General features: G+C 57.6%; 8 annotated features.

Moving 5' to 3' along the window:
- Positions 1,976-2,476: an enhancer, noted in NCBI's record as "H3K27ac hESC enhancer chr2:241317105-241317605 (GRCh37/hg19 assembly coordinates)". NCBI's record gives its function as "activates a minimal SCP1, AML or CMV promoter by ChIP-STARR-seq in naive H9 embryonic stem cells {active_cell/tissue: H9 hESC(naive)}" and the evidence as "EXISTENCE:reporter gene assay evidence [ECO:0000049][PMID:30033119]".
- Positions 2,477-2,977: an enhancer, noted in NCBI's record as "H3K27ac hESC enhancer chr2:241316604-241317104 (GRCh37/hg19 assembly coordinates)". NCBI's record gives its function as "activates a minimal SCP1, AML or CMV promoter by ChIP-STARR-seq in naive H9 embryonic stem cells {active_cell/tissue: H9 hESC(naive)}" and the evidence as "EXISTENCE:reporter gene assay evidence [ECO:0000049][PMID:30033119]".
- Positions 5,582-6,136: an enhancer, noted in NCBI's record as "H3K4me1 hESC enhancer chr2:241313445-241313999 (GRCh37/hg19 assembly coordinates)". NCBI's record gives its function as "activates a minimal SCP1, AML or CMV promoter by ChIP-STARR-seq in naive H9 embryonic stem cells {active_cell/tissue: H9 hESC(naive)}" and the evidence as "EXISTENCE:reporter gene assay evidence [ECO:0000049][PMID:30033119]".
- Positions 6,587-11,602: an enhancer, noted in NCBI's record as "VISTA enhancer hs1937". NCBI's record gives its function as "enhancer in: hindbrain (rhombencephalon)[6/9] | dorsal root ganglion[9/9] | limb[8/9] | branchial arch[7/9] | heart[8/9] | other[8/9] | ear[7/9]" and the evidence as "EXISTENCE:transgenic organism evidence [ECO:0001131][PMID:17130149]".
- Positions 9,645-10,534: an enhancer, noted in NCBI's record as "H3K4me1 hESC enhancer chr2:241309047-241309936 (GRCh37/hg19 assembly coordinates)". NCBI's record gives its function as "activates a minimal SCP1, AML or CMV promoter by ChIP-STARR-seq in naive H9 embryonic stem cells {active_cell/tissue: H9 hESC(naive)}" and the evidence as "EXISTENCE:reporter gene assay evidence [ECO:0000049][PMID:30033119]".
- Positions 18,178-18,335: a silencer, noted in NCBI's record as "fragment chr2:241301246-241301403 (GRCh37/hg19 assembly coordinates)". NCBI's record gives its function as "represses an EF-1alpha promoter that drives an FKBP-Casp9 reporter gene in an ReSE screen in K562 erythroleukemia cells {active_cell/tissue: K562}" and the evidence as "EXISTENCE:reporter gene assay evidence [ECO:0000049][PMID:32094911]".
- Positions 24,879-25,526: an enhancer, noted in NCBI's record as "H3K27ac-H3K4me1 hESC enhancer chr2:241294055-241294702 (GRCh37/hg19 assembly coordinates)". NCBI's record gives its function as "activates a minimal SCP1, AML or CMV promoter by ChIP-STARR-seq in naive H9 embryonic stem cells {active_cell/tissue: H9 hESC(naive)}" and the evidence as "EXISTENCE:reporter gene assay evidence [ECO:0000049][PMID:30033119]".
- Positions 25,527-26,174: an enhancer, noted in NCBI's record as "H3K4me1 hESC enhancer chr2:241293407-241294054 (GRCh37/hg19 assembly coordinates)". NCBI's record gives its function as "activates a minimal SCP1, AML or CMV promoter by ChIP-STARR-seq in naive H9 embryonic stem cells {active_cell/tissue: H9 hESC(naive)}" and the evidence as "EXISTENCE:reporter gene assay evidence [ECO:0000049][PMID:30033119]".

Below are 26,756 nucleotides of genomic sequence, written 5' to 3'. Positions count from 1 at the left end.
AATTTTTGTATTTTTAGTAGAGATGAGGTTTCAACATGTTGTCCAGGCTGGTCTTGAACTCCTGACCTCAGGTGATCCACCCACCTCAGCCTCCCAAGTGCTGGGATTACGGGCATGAGCCACTGTGCCCAGACTATTTTGTGCTATTTTTTTATTAGTCTTGGGCAGTCAATATTATTAATCTGTACAAAAACCCACCTTTCTATTGACATTTGTTTTATTAATTATGTTCTCCTTTTATCCCTGTTAGTTCCCTCTTTCTATTTTCTTTGGGTTTAATTCGCTCCTCTTTTTCTAATGCTCCCACAAGGCTGTACTTACATTGTTGCAAGTTTTTTCTTTCTAAGCACAAAATTTCACTCTAAGCACAGTTTTAACTGGATCCTACAAGTTTGATAGGTTATATTTGTATTATCAGTCAGTGTAAAGATTTTCTAATTTCCATTTATGGTTCATCTTCGACCCATGGGTTATGCAGAGGTATATTGTTTAATTCCTAAACACTTGGAAGACTTTTTAGTTGCTTTTATCAGCATCCATTTCCAGCTTAATTCTACTGTAGTCTGAGAATGTATTCTGAATTACTGCAGTCCTTTGAAATGTATTGGAACCAGCTCCTTGGCCCAGCACAGTGTCAGTTTTGGTCACCATGTGGGCTTAAACAGGAGGGCATGTTAGCAGAGGGACCAGACACACGAGGGTTGTGAGGAGGGAGTGTGCCAGGCCATGTGCCTGGAGCGTGAGGAGCAGGGAAAGGGCGTGAACGCTGAGGTCAGAACATGTGGGGCCTTGCAGGTCGGTGCTTCGACTTCTACTCTAAGAGGGATTGACATCTGCTGTGGATGCCAAATGGAAGACGACATGATGTGACTTCAGGTTTACCAAGGCCACCTTGGCTTCTGTGTTGTGGGTGGAGCTTGGGGGCCACGTGAGAGAAGGTGGTGGTGATTCAGGCTGTGGAGAGAGTAGTGGAGACGACAGGCATGTTCCAATTCTGGAAACCTTTCAGGGGTGGAGCCAGGAGCATTTGCTAAGAAATTAGAATTGGAGTAATAAAGAAATAGAGGAGCCAAATGATCTAGAAATTATCTAAATTTGGTTTAAATAAACACCGAAGCAATTACCTTTCTTCTTTAAAAAATTTTAACATTGTCACCCAAAATGTAATTCCTACAACTTCTTCTTTTGGGGAGAATAGTTTGAAGCATGTTTTAAACATTGAGAGATAAAATATATGAGATAAAAGTGCCTTAATCAAAAATGTGCAGCTTAACAGAAAATCATACGGTGGACTCCTGTGTGGCCACCACCGGGTCCTGACTCACAGTTTTGACGGCATCCAGGTGCACCCTCACCTTTTCTTAATGCCAGAGGGACCCACATCCTAACTTTTGTATTAAAATTGTAATGATTAGAAAAGAAGGAAGAAACAAAATAACCTTTTCAGTATGATTTCATTTATATAAAGTGATTTTTTTTGAATTTATTGAGATGTTTGGTGTGAATGACTACAGAGTTAATTTCTTTTTTAGAGATGAGGTCTTGCTCTGTCATCCAGGCTGGAGTGCAGTGGCACAATCATAGCTCACCGTAGCCTCAAACTCCAGAGCTTAAGCAATCCTCCTGCCTCGGCCTCCCAGGGTGGTAGGATTACAGGTGTGAGCCACTATGCCTGGCCAATGGTTAATTTTTTAAAAGCACATGGGTGTTGGAAAAGAAGGTGTATCCACTGCTTGCCGAGCACAAAGTATATTATACAGTTGAACTAAATATATGACATCACGAAGTTTTACACAATTGTATGCATATTTTAAATTTTATTGAGGATAAAATTAAAAATATAATAAAATCATCTCTATCTTTGTGTGACTGAACGGGTTTAACTGGACAAACTCAGGGGCAAGGAGTCTACTGTGCTTTCCTGAATCAAACATAGTTTCCGGGTGTGGAAACTTGCCTCTCAGCCACCCCTAGGCGCCGTCTCCAGCCTGTCTGCTCACTTCAAGCCCTGAAGGTCCCTTGATGCCCGGAACACCTGTGATGTTTTCCATCCACGTGGCAGGTGTGGGCACATGCCAGGTGCGGGGCAGCTCGGCTGGGAATCTCCATGTTCCCCAGAAGAGGCCAGGACATCTGCCTGTGAATGCCCCACCTCCCTGGGGCTTCTCAAGGGGATGGGAATGGGGATGGGGCCATGGCTTCTCCTATCTCCTAGGCCCACTTGAAGCCCGACCGCTCCCCAGGGCTGGCTGCTTAGGCTCACACTCCCCTAAGAGGGTCCCCCTCTCTGCCCCTGCAGCGGGAGCCCTGCTTTTCAGCCTTCTGGGGTCTTGAGAGCCAGGGCTGGACTCTCCTTGGGGAATGAATGGATGGAAGGGGCTCACATCATGTGGCATACTTTTCCTAACTTGGTAATTCCCATCTGCTAAGTTGTAGCCTTTCTGATCTTCCAGAGAAGAAGCACATGTCACCTTTCCCCACTATTAATCTGTTTCTCCACGATTAGTCACTCCTCCCCACCCCTGCTGCTTTTTGAGACAGGGTCTCATTCTGCTGCCCAGGCTGGAGTGCAGTGACGCAGACATGGCTCACCGCAGCCTCAGCCTCCCCGGCTTAAACCATCCTCCCGTCTTAGCTTCCCGAATAGCTGGGACCACAGGCACGTACCACCATGCCCAGCTAATTTTTTGATTTTTTGTAGGGATGGAGTCTGACTATGTTGCTCAGGCTGTTTTCAACTCCTGGGCTCTAGCAATCTTCTCGTCCCGGCCACCCAAAGTGCTGGAACTGTAGGCGTGAGCCACCATGCCTGGCTCTCTTCCCTCTTTTTAAACAGTTTCCTTATGTAATTGTTGGTGCAAAGTCATTGGGGGGAGTTTATGCATTTTCTGGTGTTTTTCGAAGCACTGTGCTGGTCATTGGACCCCTTTCTCACCCTCAAACCCGGTGAGGTCCTGCCCCGATGCCCCTGGGTGAACAGCTTGCCCCGGGACCTGGTTTTTGTCCAGTTCTGTGGAGGTTGAATCCTGATGCTGGCCCGGGTGGGAAACGGATTGATGGTCCCAGCTTCCTGCCCAAGCCTGCAGCTCTGCCCTCAGAGACTCCGAGCCCCTGGCTCTCCCCTGTCATGTAGGGGTTCTGGGTGGCCCCTGGAGAGGACGCTGCCCCTGCTGGCCCCTCCTAGGCTCTGCCATTCCCACAGCCCCTCTGGTACCCACTCACCATCCAGCACCCAGACTGCCCGGGAGCAGCAGCTGGCAGGGAGGAGGTGTGGGGAGGGGCGCCCTGTGGCTGGCCAGGTATGCCAGCCATGCCAGGGTAGAGGGGCTGGTGGGCTTCTGTGAGGTGGTTTTCCCGGAGCTCCCGGCTCGCAGGCGTGCTTAGGTGTTTCATCTGGCTCTGTCGCCTTGTAATTAGTATCGGTCCTCCCAGGCTCCGGTTCCCATCTGCCCATCTTCGTCTCCTGATAGGAAGTGTCTGTGTTTGTGTCTTCATGGGTGTCTGAGGACGGGACTGGAAGAAGCAGCTGGGCTGTGGGGCAGGCAGCGTTTTGACCTGAAGCTCTCTGAGCAGGCTGATCACTCAGGTGGGCCGCTCACTGCACACCTTGGACAGTGAGGCCCACGGGGGTCCCAGGTGGGGCGCCTTCCCCTCCCTTCCCAGGCTGGGGATGGAACGGGGCTCCCCAGGCTGCCACTGCCCATAGTCCCCAGCCCTGACTTTCCTGGACCTTTCTTGGCACTGCCAAGTTAGCTCCAGTGTGGGAGAGCTGGTGAGGACCTGGCTGCAGTCAGCACTTCCTAAACTGACCTTGTGCTCTGGAGCCCTGGACACATGTACCTTCCTCCCAGGAGGCCCTCTGCCCATGTAATAAAGATGGAGGCTCTCAAAGGGGGCAGAGAAATCATCCCTTCACACTCCTGGACGCAGAGGCCAAGTGGGAGCTGCTGGCACAGCCCTTTCTATGGAGGGATGGGGCGTCATGTTGCTTCACGCAGGCCAGGATGGCCCTGAGATGCCTCTATGGGCACCGCTCTCCAGCGAAACCTCTCCAGCCAGTCTGCCCGCTGCACTCCTACTCCGAGGTGAGGTCCCCCAGTGGCATCCCTCCTGCTACACCAGCTCCAAGATGTGACTCCTCAGTGATGTCCCCAGCAGCCCTCCTGCTGCACCAGGGGGCTGCTCTGTTCCATGTGGTGGAGTCCCAAAGGCCGGGCTGTTACCAACGCCTTGTTCTCTCCACACTCAGGTATGGGCCAGCATGTCTGGTAAGTGGTCCTTAAATGTTTTAGGGAAGGAAAAGTCCCAAGACCTTGAAAAAGACAAGTCACAGAATGAAAAACAATATTCCAACATATGTAACTGACGGGACTTGGAATCTAAAATATGTAAAGAGTACTGGCAAATCAATGACAAAACAACAGGCAACTGCACAGAAAAGCAGTCAGGGCACTGGGACAGGTGGTTGGCAGAGAGGAGACCCAACTGGCTATAAGATGTGTGCACAGGGACCAGCTTCTTGGTAACCAGGGAGACTCGCATCAGGACTGCAGTGGGTCTCCACCATGCTATCTCCTGGTTGGCAGGGGCTAAATGCTGACAGTACTGTGTTGATGAGGCTGGAGAGAAATGGGGCCTTTCATACTCTGAGTGGAAGTCACTGAAGTGACTTTGGGAACTGGCTGAACAACGCCTGGTCAACTTGAAGATGTAGATTCCCTGACTCAGCGGCTTTACCCTGGACGTGGGCACCCTGCGGAAATCGGGGCACGTGTGACGGCAGCACGATGTACACACACAGGAGGTCATGGCAGCCTTGCTCCTGGTAGCTGGAAGTCAGAAACAGCCCATGCGGTGTCAGGAGAATGGGGAAGTGCATCGCGTAGGGATGGAGGCGAAGAGGGGCTCGTCGATTCATCCGTAAACGGTGCCCACGCTGTCTGCGGGCCCCACTGCCTGGGCGTGCCATGCGACTGGGCCAAGCAACTTCTCGACACCCAGGCTGGGGAGGGCTTTGCAGCAGCTTGAATCCAAAGAGCGGTGGGGAAACCGAGTCATCATTCTGTAGCAGCTGAGAGCGTGAGTGTGCAGACTCAGGGCCCGGTGACACTGAGTTTCAGCCGAACAGCCTCATTCGGCAAGTGAGGTGAAGGGTAGCTTTGCTGGCTCTGTGTGACTGTTTGCATTTCATTTGCAAACACCTGGCTTTATGTTGCAGTATGCTTTAGTGTGATGAGCATGATTTCAGTCCACCCCGAGCATAGCACGAGTCCTATTCTCCTCTTAAAGACCCCCAGAGGAGCTGCTTCAGGGTTTGCTCTCTGGGGAGGAGCTGGGGTCACTGAGGAGGGGAAGCCCAAATCTAGAAAGTGGATGGCTCTTGGAGTGTCCCGGGGACTGCTGGGCCTTGGACAGGAGGGACGTGGCTGTGGTATTCTGAGGCCACTGAGCTGGCACGGGGCTGGACGCTCTGTCCTCGTCCTGACCGAGGTGGCTGCCACCAGACCCTCCTCGGGGCCAGCGTCCAGGAATCTGGGCACTTCCTCCCCTGAGACCCTGGCCCCACCCCGAGGCCCAGGGATCCTGGAAGAGTGTCCTGTGAGTGTCCGAGGGCAGACTTGCCAGATGGATTCCTGCACTGGGGCTGGGAGGCGTTCCGAGTGCGGCTCTCCCTCAAATGACAGCTTGTGATAGCGAGGCCGGCTGCATCATTCCCCAGGAATTCCCCTTGGAACGCATGCTGGCTCCAGGCTGCTCCAGGCCCCAGGCTGGCATCAGACGACCTCGGGCCAGGCCTCCTCCCCATCCTCCTTCTCTGGTCCCTTGAGGAGGGGAGGACACTTCTTCCTGAGGGCTGCAGCTCCCACACAGGCACCAGAAGCTCAGAAGCTCAACTTGGTGACATCACTGGGGCCTGGCCATCCCTGAACTCATCCCTGCTGAGTGGGAAAGGGCGAGGGCCTCACAGCCATGTCCGCCTCTAAGCTGGGAGCCTCGGGAACCCCCAGGCCTGAGTCACAATGAGACCAGAAAGGCCAGGCAGGGTCAGCATGCCCAGCTTGCCCTGGTACCCCAGTCCACCTGGGTCCAGGGGTTGGGAGGGGAGGCCAGGAAGGGTCAGCACGTCCAGCTAGCCCCAGTACCCAGGCTCACTGAGGTCCAGGGTTTGGGAGGGGAGGCCAAGCAGGGTCAACACGTCCAGCTAGCCCTAGTACTCGGGTACTTCTCGCCCTCCCTCCTAGGAGCCTCAGCCTGGGCTACTTCCCAGACCCTTGTTTTTGATTCCTCATCTTGGTTCCAGCACCCCAGGGGCCCAGCCAGAGTCTGAGAATGAGTACTGTCCATCGAAGGGGCTACCACCCGTGCGTGTAAGAAATGGTGCAGCCTCTGAGTGCTGTGTCCCGGATTGTCACAGAGGCCGCGCACTCCAGCATCTGTGTCCAGGCCACCTTGTGTGTGTTTAAGAAACAGTGCAGGCTCCGTCCGAGTGCTGTGTCCCGGATTATCACAGAGGCCGTGCACCCCAGCACCCATGTCCTGGTCCCCACAGCACCTGCGCAGATGCTGGGCTCGGGCTGGTGGGCTTTGGTCTAAGGAGCCTGGAAAGCCCACAGGTCCAGAGACCTGAGCAGAGTGGTGGGCGGTAAAGGGGCCGGGGAAGCAGGTACAGACCCCTGCCGGCCCCCGAGACTCGGTCCGCTGAGGCTGCTGGGCTGGGACCTGCATTGGCCTAGAAGATCCAAGCTGAGGCAAGAAGCGTGGCCTGTCCATGGGGAGTATTATGGACTGAATGTTTGTGTTGCCCCAAAATTCTTTAGACAGGGTCTCCCTCTGTCGTCTAGGCTGGAGTACAGTGGCATAATCATGGCTCACTGCAGCCTCAAACTCCTGGGCTCCAGCGATCCTCCCACCTCAGCCTCCCAAAGCTCTGGGATGACAGGTGTGAGCCACCACGCCCAGCTCCCGAATTCTTATGTTGAAATCGAACCCCAATATGACGGTTTTAGGAGGTGGGGCTTTGGGCGGTGATGCGGTCACAAAGGCGCTGCTGTCATGAATGGGTCCCGTGACCTTGTAAGAAGAGGCCAGAGGGCTCCTTCCCCTTCCTTCTGCCGCTTTAAGGACGGAATGAGAAGTCGGAAATCCACAACTCAGAGGACAGCCCTCCCCAGACCCCGACCAGGCTGGCACCTTGATCTCCGGCCTCCAGCCTCTGGGCTGTGAGAAATAAACTCCTGATGTTTACAAGCCACGCAGTTCATGGGGTTTCCTTACAGCAGCCCCAACAGGAGTGGCCCTGGGGGGACCTCCACAGCCCACCCACCACTTCCCACCCTCCATGGCCCTGCCCTCCGTGCCCTGTCCTTCCCCATGCCCCTCCCCCCACCACAGCCCTGCTCCCTCCTTGCCGTGCTCATCCTCCACACCCATGCCCCTAACCACAGGCCTGCCCTCCTCTATGCCCCTTCACCCCTACCACAGTCCTGCCGTCTCCACACCCTGCTCCCTCCATGGCCTGGCCCCCCTCCACATCTTGCCCTCCATGACCTCCCCTCCTCCACACCCCTGCCCCTCAACTACAGCCCTGTCCTCCTCCGTGCTCCTTTTCCTGTCTACAGCCCTGCCCCCTCCATGCCCTGCCCCTCTGCCACGCCCCTCCCCCCACCACAGCCTGCTCTCGTTGCCCCCTCTTCCCATCCCTCCCACATCCCTCTCCCACCTGCCCCTCTCAGGGACTTGAGATTTCCTCCGCAAGAAACCTCTGTGGGGCTTCACCAGGCCTCTGCCCTACCCAGGCCTCAGGGTGGGTGCGCCTGGGACTTCAAAGGCCCAAGGAGGGCCCCAAACTGGCTCCTGCCCAGGCCCAGAGCACAGATCCTCCTTGTTCCCAGCCCAGGCCCTCCCCCAGCCCAGGCACACAGCGGTCTGGAGGAAACCCTCTGGTGGCCAGCCCAGGGGACCCCCACGCCCCAGCACCCCCACCAGGACCACTTCTGGGCTCCTCTGGGGTCCTGCAAGCTTGGCCCTGCCCAGGACCCTCTCAGGCTGGTGCTGGGCCAGTGTTCAAGGGTGGGTGAAGGGCAGAGAAGGGCACCTCTCTTATTTCTGGGGCAGTCATGGCTGCAGCAAGTTCCAGAAGCTTCTGCAGAGACTACCTGGTGAAGTCTCAGAAGACCCAGAGAGGCAGCCACCAACTCAGCCTAGAAACTCAGCTCAGACTGGCAGAGAGGGCAGCCCTAGCTTGGGGGCCCAGGCCAGCGGGGAAGACTCGGCCAGCCCCAGGCACGGCGGGCATCATCAGGACAAAATGCCAGGCTCCACGCCACCATCCAAAGTCCCAGAAACAGTGGCCAGCTGTCCAGGGCCCGCCACACCCGAGCCCACCTCGCCCTCACTGCTCTCCTGACTCCTGTCCTTCAACTCATTGGCCTGCTGTGGCTTCATTGTATCCCCAACAGGATGGATCCCAGAGCCCCGGGGCACCCGCCACTCAAGGCCAGCAGTGCTATGCCTCTGCGTCAGCCTCTGTATCTGCCTCTGCCTCCTCCCTGCCCCTCGGCAGCCTGCAGGGCCCCTTCCAGGGGAAGGCTGGATCCCAAGCAAGGGAAGGGAGCGCCTGTCTCTGCTCACACCCTGACCGGCTTGACATCAGAATAAGATTCAGGGTCCCCACGTGTGGCCATCCTCTGTCTGGTTCCCTCAGCGGCAGCCACACCAATGTCCTAGCTGTCCTCGGACCCCAAGCTGACCGCTGCTGCCCTGGGCCTTTGCCTCTGCTGCTAGCCTGTCGGGAGCACCTCCCCTGGTACACAAGGCTTCCTTGCCTGCTTCTCGTCCCTGGAAAGGCCATGGCCTCCCAGAGGCCCTCCCTGGTGTGGAACCGCCTTCCTCTGGTCATGTCCCCCACAGCATTTGGCTGAGCTGCAGGAATTTACTGTCTGTCCCTTAAGAGCTGTTTCTGATGCCGGGTCCCAGAAGATGCTTGTCCCCAGCTCCAACCCTTCCAGGGCAAGCCCCTCACCCTCTGTCAGCCATGGCGGGGCTTGGGGGCTGCAGGGAATACCCAGGGTCCTGTGGATGGTCCACGTGGCCCTGAAGCCTTTGCGGAGGAAACGTGAATTGCATCAGGAATGAAATGAAACGTTGTCACCCACTTCATTTTTCTTTTTTTGAGACAGGCTCTCACTCTGTCGCCCAGGCTGGAGTGCAGTGGTGCGATCTCGGCAACCTCTGCCTCCCGGGTTCAATCTCTTCTCCTGCCTCAGCCTCCTGAGTAGCTGGGATTACAGGCACACACCACCACGCCCGGCTGATTTTTGTGTTTTTGGCAGAGAAGGGGTTTCACCGTGTTGGCCAGGCTGGTCTCAAACTTCTGACCACAAGTGACCTGCCCGCCTCGGCCTCTCAAAGTGCTGGGATTATAGGCATGAGCCACTGTGCCTGGCTCACCCACTTCATTTTTCAATTGGATGTGGCGAATCTCTCCCGAGCCCAGCGTTGGGGCCCACAGGGCCACTGACTCCAGGAGAACAAGGGTCTCTGCCTTGTGTAGGTGGGGGTCATGCTGTCATTCCCCAACCCGTGGGGCAAATCTCCAGGGACTCTCAATGGGGAGACAGCACCCCCCACAGCTTGCAAAGTGGCCCAGGCCTGGTGAGGGCCGTGGCTGTCCCAGGGTCCATGGACAAGTCAGGGCGAGAAACACAGCAGCCTCCAGGCACCCGAGGGTGCTTCTGGGGCCTCAGGAGGAGCTGGGCTTTCTGCATGTGGGTGGCCCAGGGGCCCGTTACAGGCCCATCCCGCTGAGGGCAGCATTCCGGGTAGAGGCCCAGCAGGTGCGGCCACAGACAGCTGAGCCTTCCCGGGATGCTTGTGGCGTGAAGTCAGCTGCCCAACCCTGGCCACTGGCCGCACCCCAGGCTATTTTTGGATCCTGCAGCTCAGAGCCTGCCTTGCTGCTCCCGCCCCTGGAGCTCCTGGAAGTCTGGTCAGGAGTGTGGACAATGCCCCTCTTGTCATACATCTGCCCCTTCCCCACAGCCCCCACCGCAGGGCCACCCTCCTCCCCCAGACACAGCTGGTCCTGGCTGGGCTGGGGTGGGCTGCCTGGCTGAGAGGAGGCTGGCCTTGGACCGGGACCCTGGCATCACGGCAAAGCTGGAGACTCAGGGAGTCCAGGAGGCGAGAGGCTGCCAGGGTTGTCCTGGGCCGTGTCTGTGTCAGCTCGTGTCCCTCCAGGATAAGTGATCTTGGGCAAGGCACACCTCTCTCTGGCAGAGAGGGCTCTGGAAGGTTTTCCCAGGGTCCTCCTCCCTCAAGTCCTCCCATGCCCTGAGGCTGGTCCCTGAGGTTGTTGGTCGGGGACTCCAGTCCTTGCTGCTCAGAAAAGCATGCCCAGTGTCCCTCGCCCTGCCCAGTGTACGTCCAAGGCTGCTGAAAGAATGGAGAAGGCTTCCTTTACTTCTGCCTTCATTCCTTGGACAGATATTAAAACCTGCTGTGTCCAGGCCCTGACTGGGCACAGTGTTGGTAAATCAGGTCTGGTTCCAACTTCAAACAGGCAGCCCTGACCTTGGTGCAGGCAGCCCTGACCTGCAGGCATGTGGTCCCCCGACCTTAGATAGGATGCCCCCGACCTTGGACTGGGTACCGGTGACCTTGGAGCAGGCAGCCCTGACCTGGAGGCATGCAGCTCTCTGCAGAACCAGATGTGGGTGGGGGGGCGGGTGGGGGGGCCATAGTCACTCAGGGCTTGGGGATGGCTGCTCTTTGTTGGGCTGAGTGTAGGGAGGTGGGTTCCCAGCTTCAGGACCAGGTGAATGGGGGATGCAAGCGTGGGTGGGGCAGGTGAAGCAGGAAGGGCAGGTGGGGACAGGTCAGATGACTCTTAGCATCACGGCGGTGGGACCCGCTGTGGTGTTCTGAGCAGACACGAGACAGAAGCTGCCTTCAGGAAGTTTGGTTGCACAGACAAGGGTCAGGAGACTTTAATTTGTGCAGATGAGGTGCCCTGAGGGCATTTAGCAGCTGCTGGAAAGGAGGTGTGGGAGGGCTTATTAGGGAGACATTTAACCCCCACACGGTCGATCAATCGTGAGCCACCTGTGCCTGGATCCTACCTGTCAGAGACGCCTGAGTGGCCCCACGTTCCAGCCTAGGTCCGGGAGACACCTGACACCAGGAGTTGGCCCCAAGACAATGCTGAGAGCAGCTCAGACTCTGCCCGTGGAGTGGCCTGACCCTGGGCACAAGGTGATGGGCCTTGCCAGGCACGGAGCCAGAGAGCAGCCAGGGTTGCCTGTGCCCAGCCTGTTGTGCAATGCAGTGGGGGACAGAGAATGCTCGCTGCAGGGGAAACAGGCCTGTCCTCTCGTGCCCCCAGGCTCTGCCCTGGGTGCCCCTGAGCTTACTCTGTCCCCAGGCTCTGCCCTGGGCACCCCTGAGCTCACCCCACCCCTCCAGGCTCTGCCTGTCTTGGCTGTTTGTCTTGGTATAACAAAATTACCATAGACCTGGTGGTGTAGAAACAAGAGAAATGTATCTCTCACAGTTTGGAAGTCGCGAAGTCCAAGATGAAGGTGCTGGAAGACTGTGTCTGGTGAGGGCCGCTTTCCATAGACAGTGCCTTCTCGCTGGGTGCTCCCTCTGTGGAAGGGGCGGCCTCTTTTCTAAGGGCACCAGTCCCATTCACGGGCCTCCACTCTCACAACCTAATCACCTCCTAAAGGCCTCACCTCTGAATATTACTGCACTGGGGGACAGGTCAACATGTGCATTTTGGGGGAACACACATATTTAGATCAAGCTTGTCCAACCCGAGGCCCGTGGGCCCCATGTGGCCCAGGGTGGTTTTGAATTCGACCCAACACAAATTCATAAACTTTCTTAAAACATTATGAGTTGTTTCGTGATTTTTTTTGTTTGCTTTAGCTCGTCAGCCATCGTTAGTGTTAGTGTATTTTATGTGTGGCCCAAGACAATTCTTCTTCTAATGTGGTCCAAGCCCAGGGAAGCCAAAAGGTTGGACAACTCCTGATTTCGACCATCACACCTCCGTAACAGCCAACCCCTGAGGTCCAGCCTAGGGGTGGCTCTGGGAGTTGGTGGCCGGAGGTCCACACAGTCTCAGTCCCACTCAGGCCCCCGAGCAGCTTGTAGGGGCTGTGCCCAGCTGGGCCCCTTCCAGCTGGGCCTCCAGGTGCGGCCACACCCATGTTTCTAGGGAGGCATGGGGACACAGCGGTGGCTCTCCACTCTAGCAAGGAGCCTCGTGCAGCACCCGTGCCCAGCAGGATCCTCTGGCTGCAGAAACAGCAAGGGACTCCCCTCCCTGCGTAAGAAGAGGCGTCCGCGGGACCCAGGCCGGATGCCCGTGGAGAGGGAGGAGCCAAGCCGGTGTGGGGCTCCGCAGTGGAAAGCAGTGGGAGCCTCCCATGGGTTCTCTGCTGGGCTGCATCACCCCAACCCTCTCAGGAGGGGAAGCCCTGAGCCCCCCTTGAGGGTTGATTGTGCCCCACAGCAGATGTCAGGGGCTGTGACCAAAAGGATGCCTGGGCCAGGTAGAGAAACCTGGGAGATGGCCCCGTCTGAGGCACAGCGCACGGTGTCTTCATCCTCCTGTGTGGACTCTCTGGGTTCATGGAGGAGCCCTGACTTAGGGCTGGGGTTAAATGTGCCCCCCAACCCCTCCCTTCACCCCTGCTCAGCTGAGTCCCCTCTTCTTGGCCTTGCATGGCAGCTGGGCCAGGGCTGAGGCTTTTGGGCCTTTTGGGTGATTGAACATCCAGCCAACATTAACGCTTCACTTCCAGTCCCGCAAAACACCCATCGCTTTCCCTCCTTGCAGCACAGGGAGAGCAGCATCCCCACTGCTGGGGAGTGTGCTTGTGTGTGCATTTATGTGTGCATGTGCATGTGCATTCGTGTGTGTGTGCATTTGCATGTGCTTGTGTGCCTTCATGTGTGTGCATTTGCGTGTGTGCATTTGCATGTGTGCGTGTGTGCATTCGCGTGTGCGTTCACATGTGTGTATTCGTGTGTGCATGTGCGTGTGCCTTCGTGTGTGTGCATTTGCATGTGCATGTGCGTGTGTGCATTCGTGTGTGTGCATTTGCATGTGCATGTGTGTATTCGTGTGTGCATTCACATTGTGTGCATGTGCATGTGTATATTCGTGTGTGCGTTCACGTGTGTGTATTCACGTGTGCATGTGCGTGTGTGCATTTGTGCGTGCATTCATGTGTGCATGTGCGTGTGCATGTATGCAGGTGCATGTGCGTGCATGCTGGGGTGGTTTCTGGCCTCAAGACATCCCCGCTCCCCCCTCTTCAAGGCTCAGCCCCTCTGGACGGCTGTGTGTGGGAAACGGGTGGTGGTCTTCACTCTCCCCAGGCCCCTCTGCCGACAAAGTCTCCTTCAGTCCTGCCAGGGCTCCCGTCACTGCCTGGTCCCTCTCCATGGAGTGTCAGCTAGCCTTCCAGATGATCCCTGCGGCCTCTGGGTGGGGGTGTCCCTGAAGGCCAACCCAGGCTCTCCAGGGTCTTCCCCTGCCCGACATTGACACCAGCACTCTGTCCTCCGTGCTCCAAGCCCCAAGCCCAGGACGTTCAGGTTTGCAGCCTGCACTGGCAGAGCCCAGGGGTCCCCAGAACCCACCTTGGCCTTGGGGAGGAGAAGAAACACCCTACAGGAAGATGAGGAAAATCTCTCACCAGAGATGTCCTGTCCCCACAGGGCAGAGGCTGCTGGCTGGATACCCCCGACTTCCCCCAGGACGAGCCTGGGTTGGGGAGCCGTCCTGCCCTGGTGATCCCGGCTGTCACTGGAATGTCAGGTTTCTGGGAGCCTCTGCTTCCTGCTGCAGGCTCTGCCTCTGAGTTCAGGAAGGAGACAGGCCCCCTGGTCATGCTGCCAGGACCACATGGCTCAGCTTGCTGGGCACGTGCTGCCTGGCCGGGGAGGGTAGTGCTGGGGAGGGCAGGCTGGCCATCTTCTGGCTTGGCTGCTGTTTGGTACCTCCTTGTCAGCCCGTGGTGGGGGCCCAGGGTATGGCGAGGGTGGGAGGCTGAGGTCAGGAGGGTCTCTAGGTCCTGGGGGTCAGGGAGCATGAAGGGAGCCCGGGGAGCAGCTCTCTGGCTGGGGGCCACCTCCTGGTGGGAGTGTCTGGGCTCCAAGTTGTGGTCAGAGGTGACAGGGTGTCCTCGGGCCTGTGGTCAGTGCCGCTGGGCCTCATGGAGGTGGCGTCTTGGATGACAGGAGAGAGGCTCCCCAAGTTTCTGTGCTTTTTAGGGCTCAGATTAGCCTGTAAGAGACCAAAACCAGGTTCAGTTTCCAAATAACACTCAAGAGACCTGGGCTTAGCATTGGCCCCCAGGCCACGTTCAGCTTTGCTCCAGGAGAGGGGTGGGTGCCCACGGGGAAGGGCCATCTCGCCCAAGCTTGGTCAAGGCCCTGCGAGGGCCCCTCTAGCCCCCAAGCCCGCCCTGCGAGGCTCAGCACTGAGGAGGGAGCAAGCGGGCCCCAAGACTGTGCAGTCTCGAGGCGTCCAAGCCACAGGGCGGAGCGGCGGGAGCGCAGCCGAGAGTGCCTCCTTTATGCTTGGGCCAGGCGGGGCCACGGGCCTGCAGCCATAAAGTTGGGCTGTGGATGGTGCCCCAGATCCTGCTGGTGGAGCCCAGAGACGCCGCTGCCCCCAGGCCTTCCTCAGAGCCACTCCGGAGCTTCCGCCCGGCCCAGACATCCGTGTGCAGTGTCTGGGAGCTGAGGAGGGGCCCGCCAGGCCCACCCCAGGATGCTGTGTGGGGTACACACAGCAGGAGGGGGCAGGGCAGGACGCAGTTTCCCTTCAGGTTGGGGCTCCTGACCAGGGGAGGTGGGCAGAGGCGAGGTGGGCAGAGCCGCACTGTCTCCCATGTGGGGAAGCAGAGGTGCCGGGGCTCAGGCCTGCTTGGGGACAAAGGCCATGGGCCATGGGTCTTAGGAAGTGGCCTGGGCCCATTTTCAGGGGGCTGGACTCCTCTTTTCCCGTTTTCCCAAATAAGGTGTTCCCAGTTCCCTGGGAGAATGTAGTGAGGGCTGGGGAGGGCCTGGCAAGGGCCTGTGAGGGCAAGTCGCCTCTGGCTGACTTTTGGTGGTGAAGGTGCAGAGAGTAGATTGGGGTTCTCTTTGATCCCCTACAAAGAAGGGACGCCCGTGGTGTGCTTGTAGTGAGATTTGGCCCTCCGCCCCAAGGCAGCAGCGCGGGAGTGCGGGGCTGGGTGTGGGGGCTGGGGATTTCTGCTTCATCTCCTCCAGCCTCACTGGCGGCCGAGTCCTACCCAATTACCCACCACCAGGCTGGCGAGCCCAGGAGCCTCCAGAGAGCGGCGAGGTGGTTCTGTTTCGACCGCAGGCCAGCTTGCTGCAGGGCTCCTGGCTTTGCTTTGCCAGCCAAGCGGGAGGCGCCCAGAGGGGTGGCTGAAGGGGGGTGTGGGGGCTGGCACAGGCCGGCTCGGGAGCTTCATGCCTACTCTGTCTTCCGGATTCATGAACAGTGATGCCCCAGTACCCCCAGCCCCTGCAGCTGCCAGGCCTCCATGAGCATGTTGCACACGGCTGAGGGGAATGGCATTCTTGGGGTGCCTGGGGGCTTGGAGGTTCTGAGCCTGGGCCGGGCCGGCTGTGGGTGGAGACTCAAGTCCGGCTGAGGTTATCAGCAAGGTCTCTGAAAGCTGACAGAGCAGAGCAAGGATACGCCTGACGCTGTGCAAGGTTTGCAGAGTCGCTCAGCCTCTCTGGGCCCACTTCCCCTTTGCACCTGGGGCATTCTCACCTCACCTACTGTGAGGGTTCCATGAGCCGAGCAGGGAGGGGTTGCCCAGCCTGCAGTGGTTGGTGTGATGCCCCCGTTCCATGGCAGAATCTCAGCCGGGCCAGTGGAGGATGGAGAGCAAGGGCATTCCAGGTGGAAGGATCTGGGTTAGGAAGCATCGCGGTGGAAAGCTCAGGAGCACGTTTCGCTTTGACATGGGGGAGGGCGGTCTAGCAGCAGGACACTGCTGGAGCAGCATCAGTGGTGCGGGAGCTCCTGTGAGCCGAAACCTTCTCATCTGCCCGCCAGGTGCTGGGCGTCCGCCTGAATTATTACATTTGATGTGCTGGTGTGGAGGAGGTGGGGCTGGACCTCAAATTCCCAGCTAATATTTATGGTTTCTTTTCTAAAAGCGGTGGGAGCCAGCCAGGAAGATTTTCCACGATAAGCATCCATGAGGGACGTGGGGTTTGGGAACTCAAATGACTGTGCTGGTGAGGACATGCTGGGCGTCCAGCTCTTTGCCGGGGACAGGCAGGCGGGGGATGGGTCCGAGGTGCAGCTGCTGTCCTTGGGGAGATGTGGCTGGCCGGGGAGATCCAGCTATAACCTGAAACTATATCCTTTTAAATCCAAGGACCACAAAGTAAAAGAAAATCAATTTCCAATTACTTCTAAGCCCCAAGTTTACACAGAAAGAGAAACTCAGGGGGCAGTGCCGTGGGAGCGCTGTGTGGGCCAGGAGCTCGTGCTCCCAGGCTCTGTGGTCTGCGTCCGCTGTGACCTTGGTCAAGGTGCCCCCTCCGTACCATGACCGTCTCAACTGCCAAGGATGGGGCCAGACACGCCAGGGTCCCTTTGCACCCGAATTGCTTCTAATTCCTGATCCCGATGTGTCATTGACCTGTGATGCGTGCCCCAGCCTGGGAGAAGGTGGGGGGTGGGGAGCAGGGCCACTGAGGGGCTCTTTGCCTCTCCTACCCCCACACCCAGAGGCAGGAGTGTGCCTGGCTTAGCGGGACCCCGTTGCTGGCAGCAGCAGCAGTGCCACTCCCAGACGCAGTCCAACCTCCAAGCCTCCACTCCTGGCTGGCTTTTGGGAAAACATTTTGTTTGGACTGTTGAGGGGCAAACGCCCTCCTGCTCGCCCGCAGCTGGGCTGTCCAGGGTTTCCTGTGACTTTGCCACCAGAGCCAGAGGAGCCCAGACTTGCTTCGTGCTGCAGCCCCTGGCCCTGGGGACCAGCAGCCTGTGCGTTCCTGAGACCCTCAGCTTTCACCTCGGCCTCCAGCCACCAGGCTCAGCTCTCACCTGCCTGAGCCATCACATGGCAGCTGGCTCTGGCATCACAGGCACAGCCACCCTTGGTAGGGAGCTGGCACTGCCCCACGACACTCCCTCGCCCCATGGATGTGGGCGGACACAGCCTCGGGTCCTGACCGGCCTCTCTGTGCACAACACGGCTTCCCAGGGCTGGGCAGGTGGTCGGAAACCCCCAGTAGCGTGGGGGTGAGAACCCAAGGGGATTGCAGAGCAGGAGGGGGCAGGGTTAAAGCTGCCTGCATTGTGTGACTCCTTCCTTATTCCAGGAAGAGCACCCAGACACTCAGCCTCTGTGGGTGCTCCTTCCTGGACTCCCTGGGTTCCTAATCTCCCTCCTGCCTGGTGTGAGGCCCTCTGGAGCTGTCTTCCGTCATCCAGACACCAATGCACCCACCTCTCAGAAACCCCCGCTTCTCTGCAGGGATTGGCCTCTCCAGCACCTCCTGTCCTCCACAGGGACTGGCCTCTCCAGCACCTCCTGTCCTTCACAGGGGCCTCTCCAGCACCTCCTGTCCTCCACAGGGACCTCTCCAGCACCTCCTGTCCTCCACAGGGCACTTCCTCGAGGGCGAGTTACTCTGTGCAACAAGGCCCTGGGGAACGTGAGCGGCAGGTCCCAGACCACGTGGATGGATGTCAGGACACAGGTGTGACCCTCCGGGGGTGTCCACACACGTGTGCCCATTGCAGAGATGACCTGGCGCTCCTCCAGGTGTGGGGCCACCCCATGAATAGGATGCCCAAGGTCTCTGTTCTCTTAGGGCTCACTTCCTTATGGAGAAGTCAATACAACAAACAAGGAAATGAATGTGTAAGTGTGTAAATGAATAGCATTATTTCAGAAAGGTAAGCTTTGCCTGATTAATTTTCCTGATTGGCCCAAGGATATCACACAGCATACACACAGATGAACACACAAATGCACACACAAACACACAGTCACACACACAGATGAACACACACACACAGTCACACAGACACCCATACAGGTGAACACCCACACACATCCGTCTCTTGGGTGCTAGTTCCCACAGGGAGCACTTTCGAAGCCTGTGGGCCTCCCCGCCCTACCCTTGCAGCAGCGAGGCCCACATCTCCATGCATGGTGATGTCGACTTCCTCCCCCCATCTTCGCCACCCTCAGCCTCCCGGCACCTGCTCCACTGGGCCTGCACACATCTCTGGGCCCTGCAGACATTCTCGGCTGCTGGTGTAGTTGTGTACACCCTGCCTGTGCAGGGATATCTGGGTTGTCCAACAAAGCCCATTGTCCTTCAGTCTCTGCTGCCTCTGGGGTCAGTGATGTTTCTGCGAGCGTGCGGAGTTCTGTACAACCAGGTCACTATGGGGGTGGGTTGATGTCTGGAATGGGGTTTCCTCAACTGTGGGAAAAGTTTGTCTCTTCTTCCTTCTGGTATCCTCCTTTTGGTGATAGTGCTGGAATCCTAATCATAGATCAGCAGATCCCACCAGCCCCTGGAATGCCCCTCTCAGAAGTGGGCAGAGGCTCGGGCAGGAGGAAGAAGCCCTGAGTGTGGCTGCTTGCTGAACAACTACCCCGCAGGGCCCAGAGGCCGAGAGGCTCCCCTGCCCATTTGCTTCCTGCTCCCACCCTTCTCCATTCTCCTTGGGTTTGTTGAGCTTCCTGAATCCCTGCTGAGGTCTTCATCAGTTCTAAGAAATTCTCAGCCATCACCTCTTTCAATGTTGCTTCTCCCTCCTTCTCTCTCTTCTCTTTCCGAGGTTCCAGTTACATGTATATTAGGTCCGATTCCCAGACTGAACAGACATGAAAGTATTCTGTCAAACTGATGTAAAGGTTCCTGTGTGTTTACACAACTGCCCTGCGTTTGTCTCACCACGGTCTTGTAGCAGAACAGCCTGGTCCACCGTGGAGGGCGCCTTCAGATGCCCTGTTACCGGGTCCCATGCATCTCTTCTGCTGCGTTCTGCTTTCCTTTTATGTTTCCTTTTCTTTAAAAATGATTTCTTTTCTCTGTGTTTCATCTTGGATGTTTTCAATTGATCTGATTCAAGTGCAATAATTCTGTGATCTGCTGTGTTCAAACATCTATTAAATACATCCAATAGGTTCTTAATTCCAAAAATAATGTTTTTCAGTATTATTTGATGACTTTTCACAGATTCCAATGTTCTGCTGTAATTTTCTATTTTCAGCTTTGCCTATCTTTTCCTCTCATTTCTCTGACATATGAGTCACACTTATTTTGAAGTGCTTGTCTCTGCCACTGCCAACTTTGGAATCAATCATCTGTGGGTCTACTTCTATTGACCTTTTTCTTCTAGATCATTGTTTGCATTTTCCTGCTTCTTTACCTCCTTTATGCCAAACTCTCTGTATAAAGGAATTATAGAGACTCTAGATGGCATCATCTTTTGTGTTTTCCTGTGAGGGGAATAGGGTGAGAGGATTATCATATAAACCTAGCTGGGAATGGAGCTGAGTCCCAGTCAAGTGGTGTCTTTGATGAGACTCAGTCTGCCTCTGTCCTTCCCTGTTTCTTAAGCATGTCTCTCTGGGGTTTGACTGAGAGCCTGCTGGGTCCTCTCCTCATCCCTGAGATACTGTAAAGAGATTGAGATCTTTCCTTTGAGGGTTTGAGCCTAGGTCTTTAGTCTCAAGTTCTGGTGGCTTAGAAAAATCTGTCCAAAGTGGGGTGGTGGAGGATGCCAGCTCCTCCTGATGCTGCCTCATGCTATCTAGAGAGGATTCATCTCTAAGTAGCATGAAGTGGTTCACTGCCCCTTTTAGATACCCTTGGCCTAGGTCCCTGGACCTCACATACAGTTTCAGAAATCAATACGTGTTTAAGGGGGAACCAGCATTTCATCAGCCACTCTGTGGGCTACTACGTGCTTTCTAATCAGAATGTAAAAGAATGAGCAGCCCCATCCCTCTGCTCCTTGTGTGGTTGAGAAGCCTGTGAACACTCAGGGCCCTCAGCAGATGCCGAAGACCCCTGCCCAAGCCTTCTCCTGGAGGGGTGCTCCCAGCCTCTGATTGGGCTCCCGCTTGTCCTGTGTGACAGATCCAGGGCTCTCCATGGGACCCTTCATACCAGGTCTCAAGGGCACCCAGGCTCCTGGGACAGCCTGGAGTGTGTCAAAGGCAGGGGCAGCACTGCCCTGGAACCCACTTCACTGCAGGACCCCCAAACAGGGAGTGTGGCCCTGGCCACTCCAGGACTCCTCCTTGTTGCATCAGGGGCCCACATCCCTGTTCCCCTGTGCCAGGCCCAGAGGAGAGAGCAGGTGGACACCTCCTTGTCCCACCAGGGACCCACGTCCCTGTCCCCTCTGCCAGGCCCAGAGGGGAGGGCAGGGACACCTCCTTGTCCCATCAGGGACCCACCTCACTGTCCCCTCTGCCAGGCCCAGAGGGGAGGGCAGGGGACACCTCCTTGTCCCGCCAGGGACCCACGTCCCTGTCCCTTGTGCCAGGCCCGGAGGGGAGGGCAGGTGGCTGGTGGGTGTGAATTTCTCTGTTTCTGATCCTCAGTCCCCTGAGACCCACTGTCTTGAGCCTAGGGCTCTCCCTGCCCCACCCCACCCTTGGATTTGGTAATGAGAGAAAGATGGGTGGGGGTTGGTTTGAGGGGAGAGCAGGCACTGAGGCCCATCAACCAATCCAAGGGAGTCAGCCCTACCCTAGGGGTTCATCGCTGCTCAAGGAGGCTCAGCCCTGCCCTAGGGGTTCAGCTCCACCCTAAGGGGTCAGCCCTATCCAAGGGCGTCAGCCCTGCCTGAGGAAGCATCCCTCCATTGGGGGAACCAAAGAACTCTTGGGTGCCAGGATCTGGGCGCCACCCCTGCTCAGGGCCAGGGGGAGAGCCTCTCCCTTGAGGGTGAGGAGCAGGAGTGTCCCTGGGCTTGTCTGGGCCTGGTGGCATGAGGGCGGCATGCAGTGGGTGGGGTGTACTTCAGGTGATCCCCTTGTCGCTCATGAATCTGTCAGCCAAACCCCCACCCTCTCACCCTCCTACTGGGTGCACCACCAAGAGAACCAGGAAGAGGCGGCCGAGTGGCTGCTGGACTCTGCAGGGGTGTGGGTCGCTCCTGGTGCTGGGGCCGTTCACGACCCCATCCTACTCAGGGTGTGGTGTGGGGAGGGTCCCGGAGGGGCTGAGGAGGGGTCTGCATGCCCAGCAGGCAGCGGAGGCTTCTGAGGGTGAGCTGAGTAGGGAGTGAAGAGGCTGAGCTGCGTCAGTGGAGTCTCAGGAGAGCAGCAGCTGCCTGGAACCTTCCCGAGGGGTCGGGGGTCATTGCCCAGATCACACGCATTTCTCTTTCCCTAATGCCTAATGTGAGGTCCCCACAGCTCAAATCGATCCAACCAGCCACCACCCCAGAGGACCCCAGGACCACCTGTGGCCCTCTCCTCCAGCTCCTCCTCACCCTGCCCAAACCCGGTCCAGTCCCGTCTCCGTTCTCCTGCGCCAGCCCCAGATGACCCCGGCCCTCCTTGGGAGGCTTAGAAGGGCTTCCTAGAGACGTTGGCTGCTGAGTTATCCGGAGCTGAAGAAGTGGGTAAGGGTGTTCAGGACTAGGGAGGGACAGGGAGGCTCCGTCTAGGCAGGGCTGGAGCCTGGTGAGGAGGGGATGGCGAGGGATCCTCGTGGGAGCTCTGTGGGGGTGAAGCCAGCCCTGCTGAGGGGCCCAGCCCACCTCTCCGCCAGCTCCTCCCCTAGGTGCTTATCAGTGCCGGCCCCTTTGTGAGCCTGTGGGAGCTGGCTGGCAATTCAGGACCTTGAAGCCCCTGCAGGGTCCAGCCCCATGCTGGTTCCCCATGTCCTCCATGCTTCATGAAGCAGCAGGTGTGTTCCCTGCCTGGGCCTGGCCCCTGGGGCGCTGGAGAAGCTGCACACAGCTGGCAGAGAGGGGCCACTCGGAGAGGGGAGAGGGAGCAGCACCACAATACCCAGGAGACAGGGGTCAGAGGGCAGAGGCTACGGCCACCAGGCTGGCATGGTGTTCGAATATGGCTTTAATCTCAGGTTGTCCCAGGTAAGCCCCCCGGGCTTGACGACTGCATTTTCCCCACTAGGCATTTCTGGTTGGTTCTTGCCCACCAGCATCTCCAGGGCCTTCCCCATCGCTTTGATGATTCAGCGCCTGTCCTAGCTCTTGTTAACGCCATTGCCAAAGTGACTAGGAACACCCTCAGAGCCATTTTAAACATTTTATTTTTCTTTCTTTCCTTCTTTCTTTCTTTCCTTCTCTTTCTTTCTTTCTTTCTTTCTTTCTTTCTTCTTTCTTTTTCTTTCTGTCTTTCTCTCTCTCTTTCTTCTTTCTTTCTTTCTCTCTCTCTTTCCTCTTTCTTTCTTTTTCTTTCTCTTTCCCTCCCTCCCTCCCTTCCTTCCTTCTCTCTCTCTTTCTTTCTTTCTTTCTTTCATAGGAAGGGCATTTTTTCGTTTATAAAAGTGATACTTGCTGACTTTAAACACAGAAAATACAGAAACATCCAAGGGAGGCAGTGGCCATTGCCTGAGCCTCATCCCTCTGCCTCCACGTGTGGGGTCAGCCCTTCTCCGCTCGGTGTCCCCAGATGCCACGCAGAGGCAGCACAGGCGTCCAGGTGGCCTCAGGCCAGGCCTCCCCTCAAGCAATGCATTGGGGTGTCCTCCCCATCACTGCTGCCCTTGGCAGGTCCTCCCATCTCCCTGTGCAAACGGAGGGCCGAGGGCACTCTGGGACCCCTGCCCTTCCCCACTTAGATGATTTGCTTGCAATGGATTCCTAACCATGGGATTTCATGGCAACAGTCTGTGCCCTGTGGGCGCCTTCCATGTCTGTTGTTCCCTTGCCTTCCCAGGGAGGCACACTGAGGAACCCTGTGCCCTCGGGCGAGGCTCCCCGTGGGGCCTCCCCGCCCATGCCACTTGCCAAGGCTTCGATCGCGCTGTTCCTGGGGTTAGGGGACAGAAGACTTCTTGTGTTGCTTCAATTTAATTTTAAAAATGACCAGAGAAGCTCGGCATCCTCTTAAAGTGTGGGGCTTGCCCTGGGTGCCCGATGAAGGGAAGAGGCAGCACCCCTCTTTCCTCAGCAGCCCTGTGCTGGTAGCCCCTGTGGCTTTCATCCCAGGTTATCCCACACACTCTCGGCTGTCCTAAGCACTTTCCTGATGCATTCTCCTCCTGCCACCGCAGCAGCGCCCGTCCCCTCCTGCCGACCCTGTTTATCTCCAGTGCCTCTCGGACACAGATCGGGACATCCGAGTCTGGGAAGCCATCCACTCCCATATTGGAGCCTAGCTTGGAGGACTTGAAATGCCAGGTCTAAAGTTCATGTCCCTCAATGCTCTGAACCATTGCTTTGCTTTTTTGCTGGCTCTTGGAATTCGGTGGGGCAAGGTGATGAATCTCACGCTGGTACTCAGAGGCCAGTGATGTGTCCTGACCCTCCAGACTCCTGTCTTACCCTGGGAGGTCCCCGAGTTTCTCCAGGAGGTGTGTGTGCCACCTGGCTGCCTCTCCCTGTGCCCTTTGCTGTAGGAGGGCTCATCCCTGCTTTTAACCGGAAGATTTTCTCATTAACTTGCTTTGGAAATATTTGATCCTTTTGACTTTTCTCTGTCCCTGTGACTCTGGCCCCGCATTGGGGCACCTCTGCTTCTAGTACCCTCTTCACACCCTTCCCACACCTGCTCCGACTCACACCTCTGCCTCACCGCACACCTTCACGGGACTCCTCCACCTGCCCCACCGCACCAGGCACGTTGCTGCCTTCGTAAACCCACCCGCCAGGCCCACGGGCTCAACGTCTGTGTTTTCCCCACCAGGCATTTCTGGCTGGTTCTTGCCCTCAGTCCACATCCCCAGGGCCTTCTCCACCGCTTTGATGATCCGGTGCCTGTCCTGCCTCCTGGGTCAGCTCTGCACTGTGGGGCTGGAGCGGCCAGACCATGTACTTTCCCCTGGGGTAGGAGGGTGTCGGCTGCCACGGCCGGAAATGGGTACCCGGATGGGGTGCAGCCGGGGGTCCTGCTGGGAACCTGTTAAGAGAAATGTGCTGGGTGCGGGGAGTCACCCCCTGGGCCTGGGCAGTCTTGTCCCAGGGCCTCCTGCTGTCCCTGTTCGTGTGGGGCGGCAGCTTTGTCTCAGGCCTCCCCCACCCCCCACCCTGCCCAGCCAGGCGTTGCTGGTCTCACTGTCCCTGGGTGTTCAGACTTACACCGGCTCTCACGTCAGCCTCCTGGCTTCTGTGGTGTCCCTGGGGCTAAGCTGTGGAGCAGCATTGCTTGCCCTGACAGCCATGAGGTGTAAATTCCTGGGCTTGTCTCTGCAGAGCTCATGGGGATCTGACAGGTGCATAGTAGGTGTGTAGGAAGGAAGCACTGGCGCCTTTGACATTATTCCGATGCCACTGCTGTTCTGCTTGAGGGTGAGCTGAGCCCCGGGGACGCAGGGCTGGCGGGGAGCACGAGGCCTCGAGGTTGCAGCTGCTCTGGGGACCTGTGGAGTGTGCATGGCCCTCTGGGCTGGGAGGGCCTCCCTGGATGTGATGCCTGCCCTCTCCGGAGAGAAGAGTGAGCGGGATCTTGGCCGGGCAGGTGGCCCCAGCCCTGGGGACACAGGCAGGCATGGCCTCCCTGCAGCTGGCCTCTGAGGTTGAGGAAGGGACAGGGCCATTGGGTCTGCCCAGTCAGGTATTGCCCTCTCTCAAAGTGAGCCTGCTACCCTTGCAAGGGAAGCCTCGGAATGTTCTGCCATGTTTTACTGAATTCAAAAGTAGGTCCACGGACATTTTTTGGCATCACTTCTCAATACCTAGTGCCAGACCAGCTGCTGGCTCCCTCTCAGCTCTTCCAGATTGTCTCACCTTTGACCTCTGAATCAGCATGGAAATTTCTGGTCTCCCAGTTCTGAATGCCTTTTGAATCCAGCATGGTGGCTTGGATGATGGACTCATCCTTAGCAAGTGCAGCCAGGGGCATGAGGGGCCAAGTCATAGCCCCTCTCCCACCTGGACTCGGCCGAGTCATAGCCCCTCTCCCACCTGGACTCAGCCGAGTCATAGCCCCTCTCCCACCTGGACTCGGCCGAGTCATAGCCCCTCTCCCACCTGGACTCGGCCGAGTCATAGCCCCTCTCCCACCTGGACTCGGCCGAGTCATAGCCCCTCTCCCACCTGGACTCGGCCGAGTCATAGCCCCTCTCCCACCTGGACTCGGCCGAGTCATAGCCCCTCTCCCACCTGGACTCGGCCGAGTCATAGCCCCTCTCCCACCTGGACTCGGCCGAGTCATAGCCCCTCTCCCACCTGGACTCGGCCGAGTCATAGCCCCTCTCCCACCTGGACTCGGCCGAGTCATAGCCCCTCTCCCACCTGGACTCGGCCGAGTCATAGCCCCTCTCCCACCTGGACTCGGCCGAGTCATAGCCCCTCTCGCACCTGGACTCGGCCGAGTCATAGCCCCTCTCCCACCTGGACTCGGCCGAGTCATAGCCCCTCTCGCATCTGGACTCGGCCGAGTCATAGGCCCTCTCCCACCTGGACTCGGCCGAGTCATAGCCCCTCTCCCACCTGGACTCGGCCGAGTCATAGCCCCTCTCCCACCTGGACTCGGCCGAGTCATAGCCCCTCTCCCACCTGGACTCGGCCGAGTCATAGCCCCTCTTCCATCTGGACTCAGCCAAGTTATAGCCCGTCTCCCACCTGAACTCAGCTGTCCTGGGGTTTGCAGTAGTTCTCTCCACTCTCAAAAGCCTCAGGGTGGGGATTCCCATCTGCAGAGCTCAGTGATCCAAGAGAGTCCCCACGTGTCCTCTGCCCTGTGCCAAGGCCTCTCAGGACCCTGGGAAGAAGGAAGACAGTGCTTGGGGCTTCTGGGAAGTACAGGGTACTCACAGCACCATGCAGTGTGTGGCAGGGCTGACCTGGCAGACGGAGGCCCAAGTGGCCAGGGTGTGCAGTGGGGCCAGGGCAGACTCAGGCCGGGCGGGAGCCCTAGGGAAGCTGCTCTTCGGGGGCTGCCACTGACCACGGTGCAGCAGAGGAGGAGATCTCAGGTCACGCAGCCCCGGTATGAATGCTGGGCTTTTGATCTGAGACGGAAACAACCATAGTAGTTCCTAGAGGAGTTGTGGGCAATGAGGAGGACAGGGCCATGCAGGGGATGAATCTCTGCTCTCTGTGTTCCTCTCTGCCATCAAGATCTGCCCCCAGCACCATTCAGAGACTTCACCTGGGCCGGTCTATCCCTGGGACAGGCACCTGTCTCAGTCAGCACATCTGCAGGATGCGGCTGGAAGGACAAGCGCTGGAGGCCAGCTCTGCTCCAGAGCGGCCCCTTCTGCCTTGCATGTAGTTTCTTGCCCAGGAGCCCCTCAGCCTCTGGGCGGCGGTCCAGCCCACACTTAAAGGAGGGTGCAGGTGGAAACCCTGTTTGAGCAGCATGCGGGAGGGAGGGAGGGATGCTGGGCATCACCGCCGACAGCTCACATCCGCCAGAGATGAGTGTCCCATTCGGACCCGGTGCAGATGCGCGTCCCATTCAGACCTGGCACCGTGTCCTCTGAACATCACCTCTGAACCTCCCTGAGAGTGGGGAATCCATAGCCCCTGTCTACACTTGGAGAACCTGGGGCCGGTGACCACCAAGTGGCTCCCTAAGGCCACT

Source organism: Homo sapiens, chromosome 2 (assembly GCF_000001405.40).
Source record: "Homo sapiens chromosome 2, GRCh38.p14 Primary Assembly".
NCBI classification, from domain to species: domain Eukaryota; kingdom Metazoa; phylum Chordata; class Mammalia; order Primates; family Hominidae; genus Homo; species Homo sapiens.
This window is presented reverse-complemented; position numbering and strand designations above follow the sequence as displayed.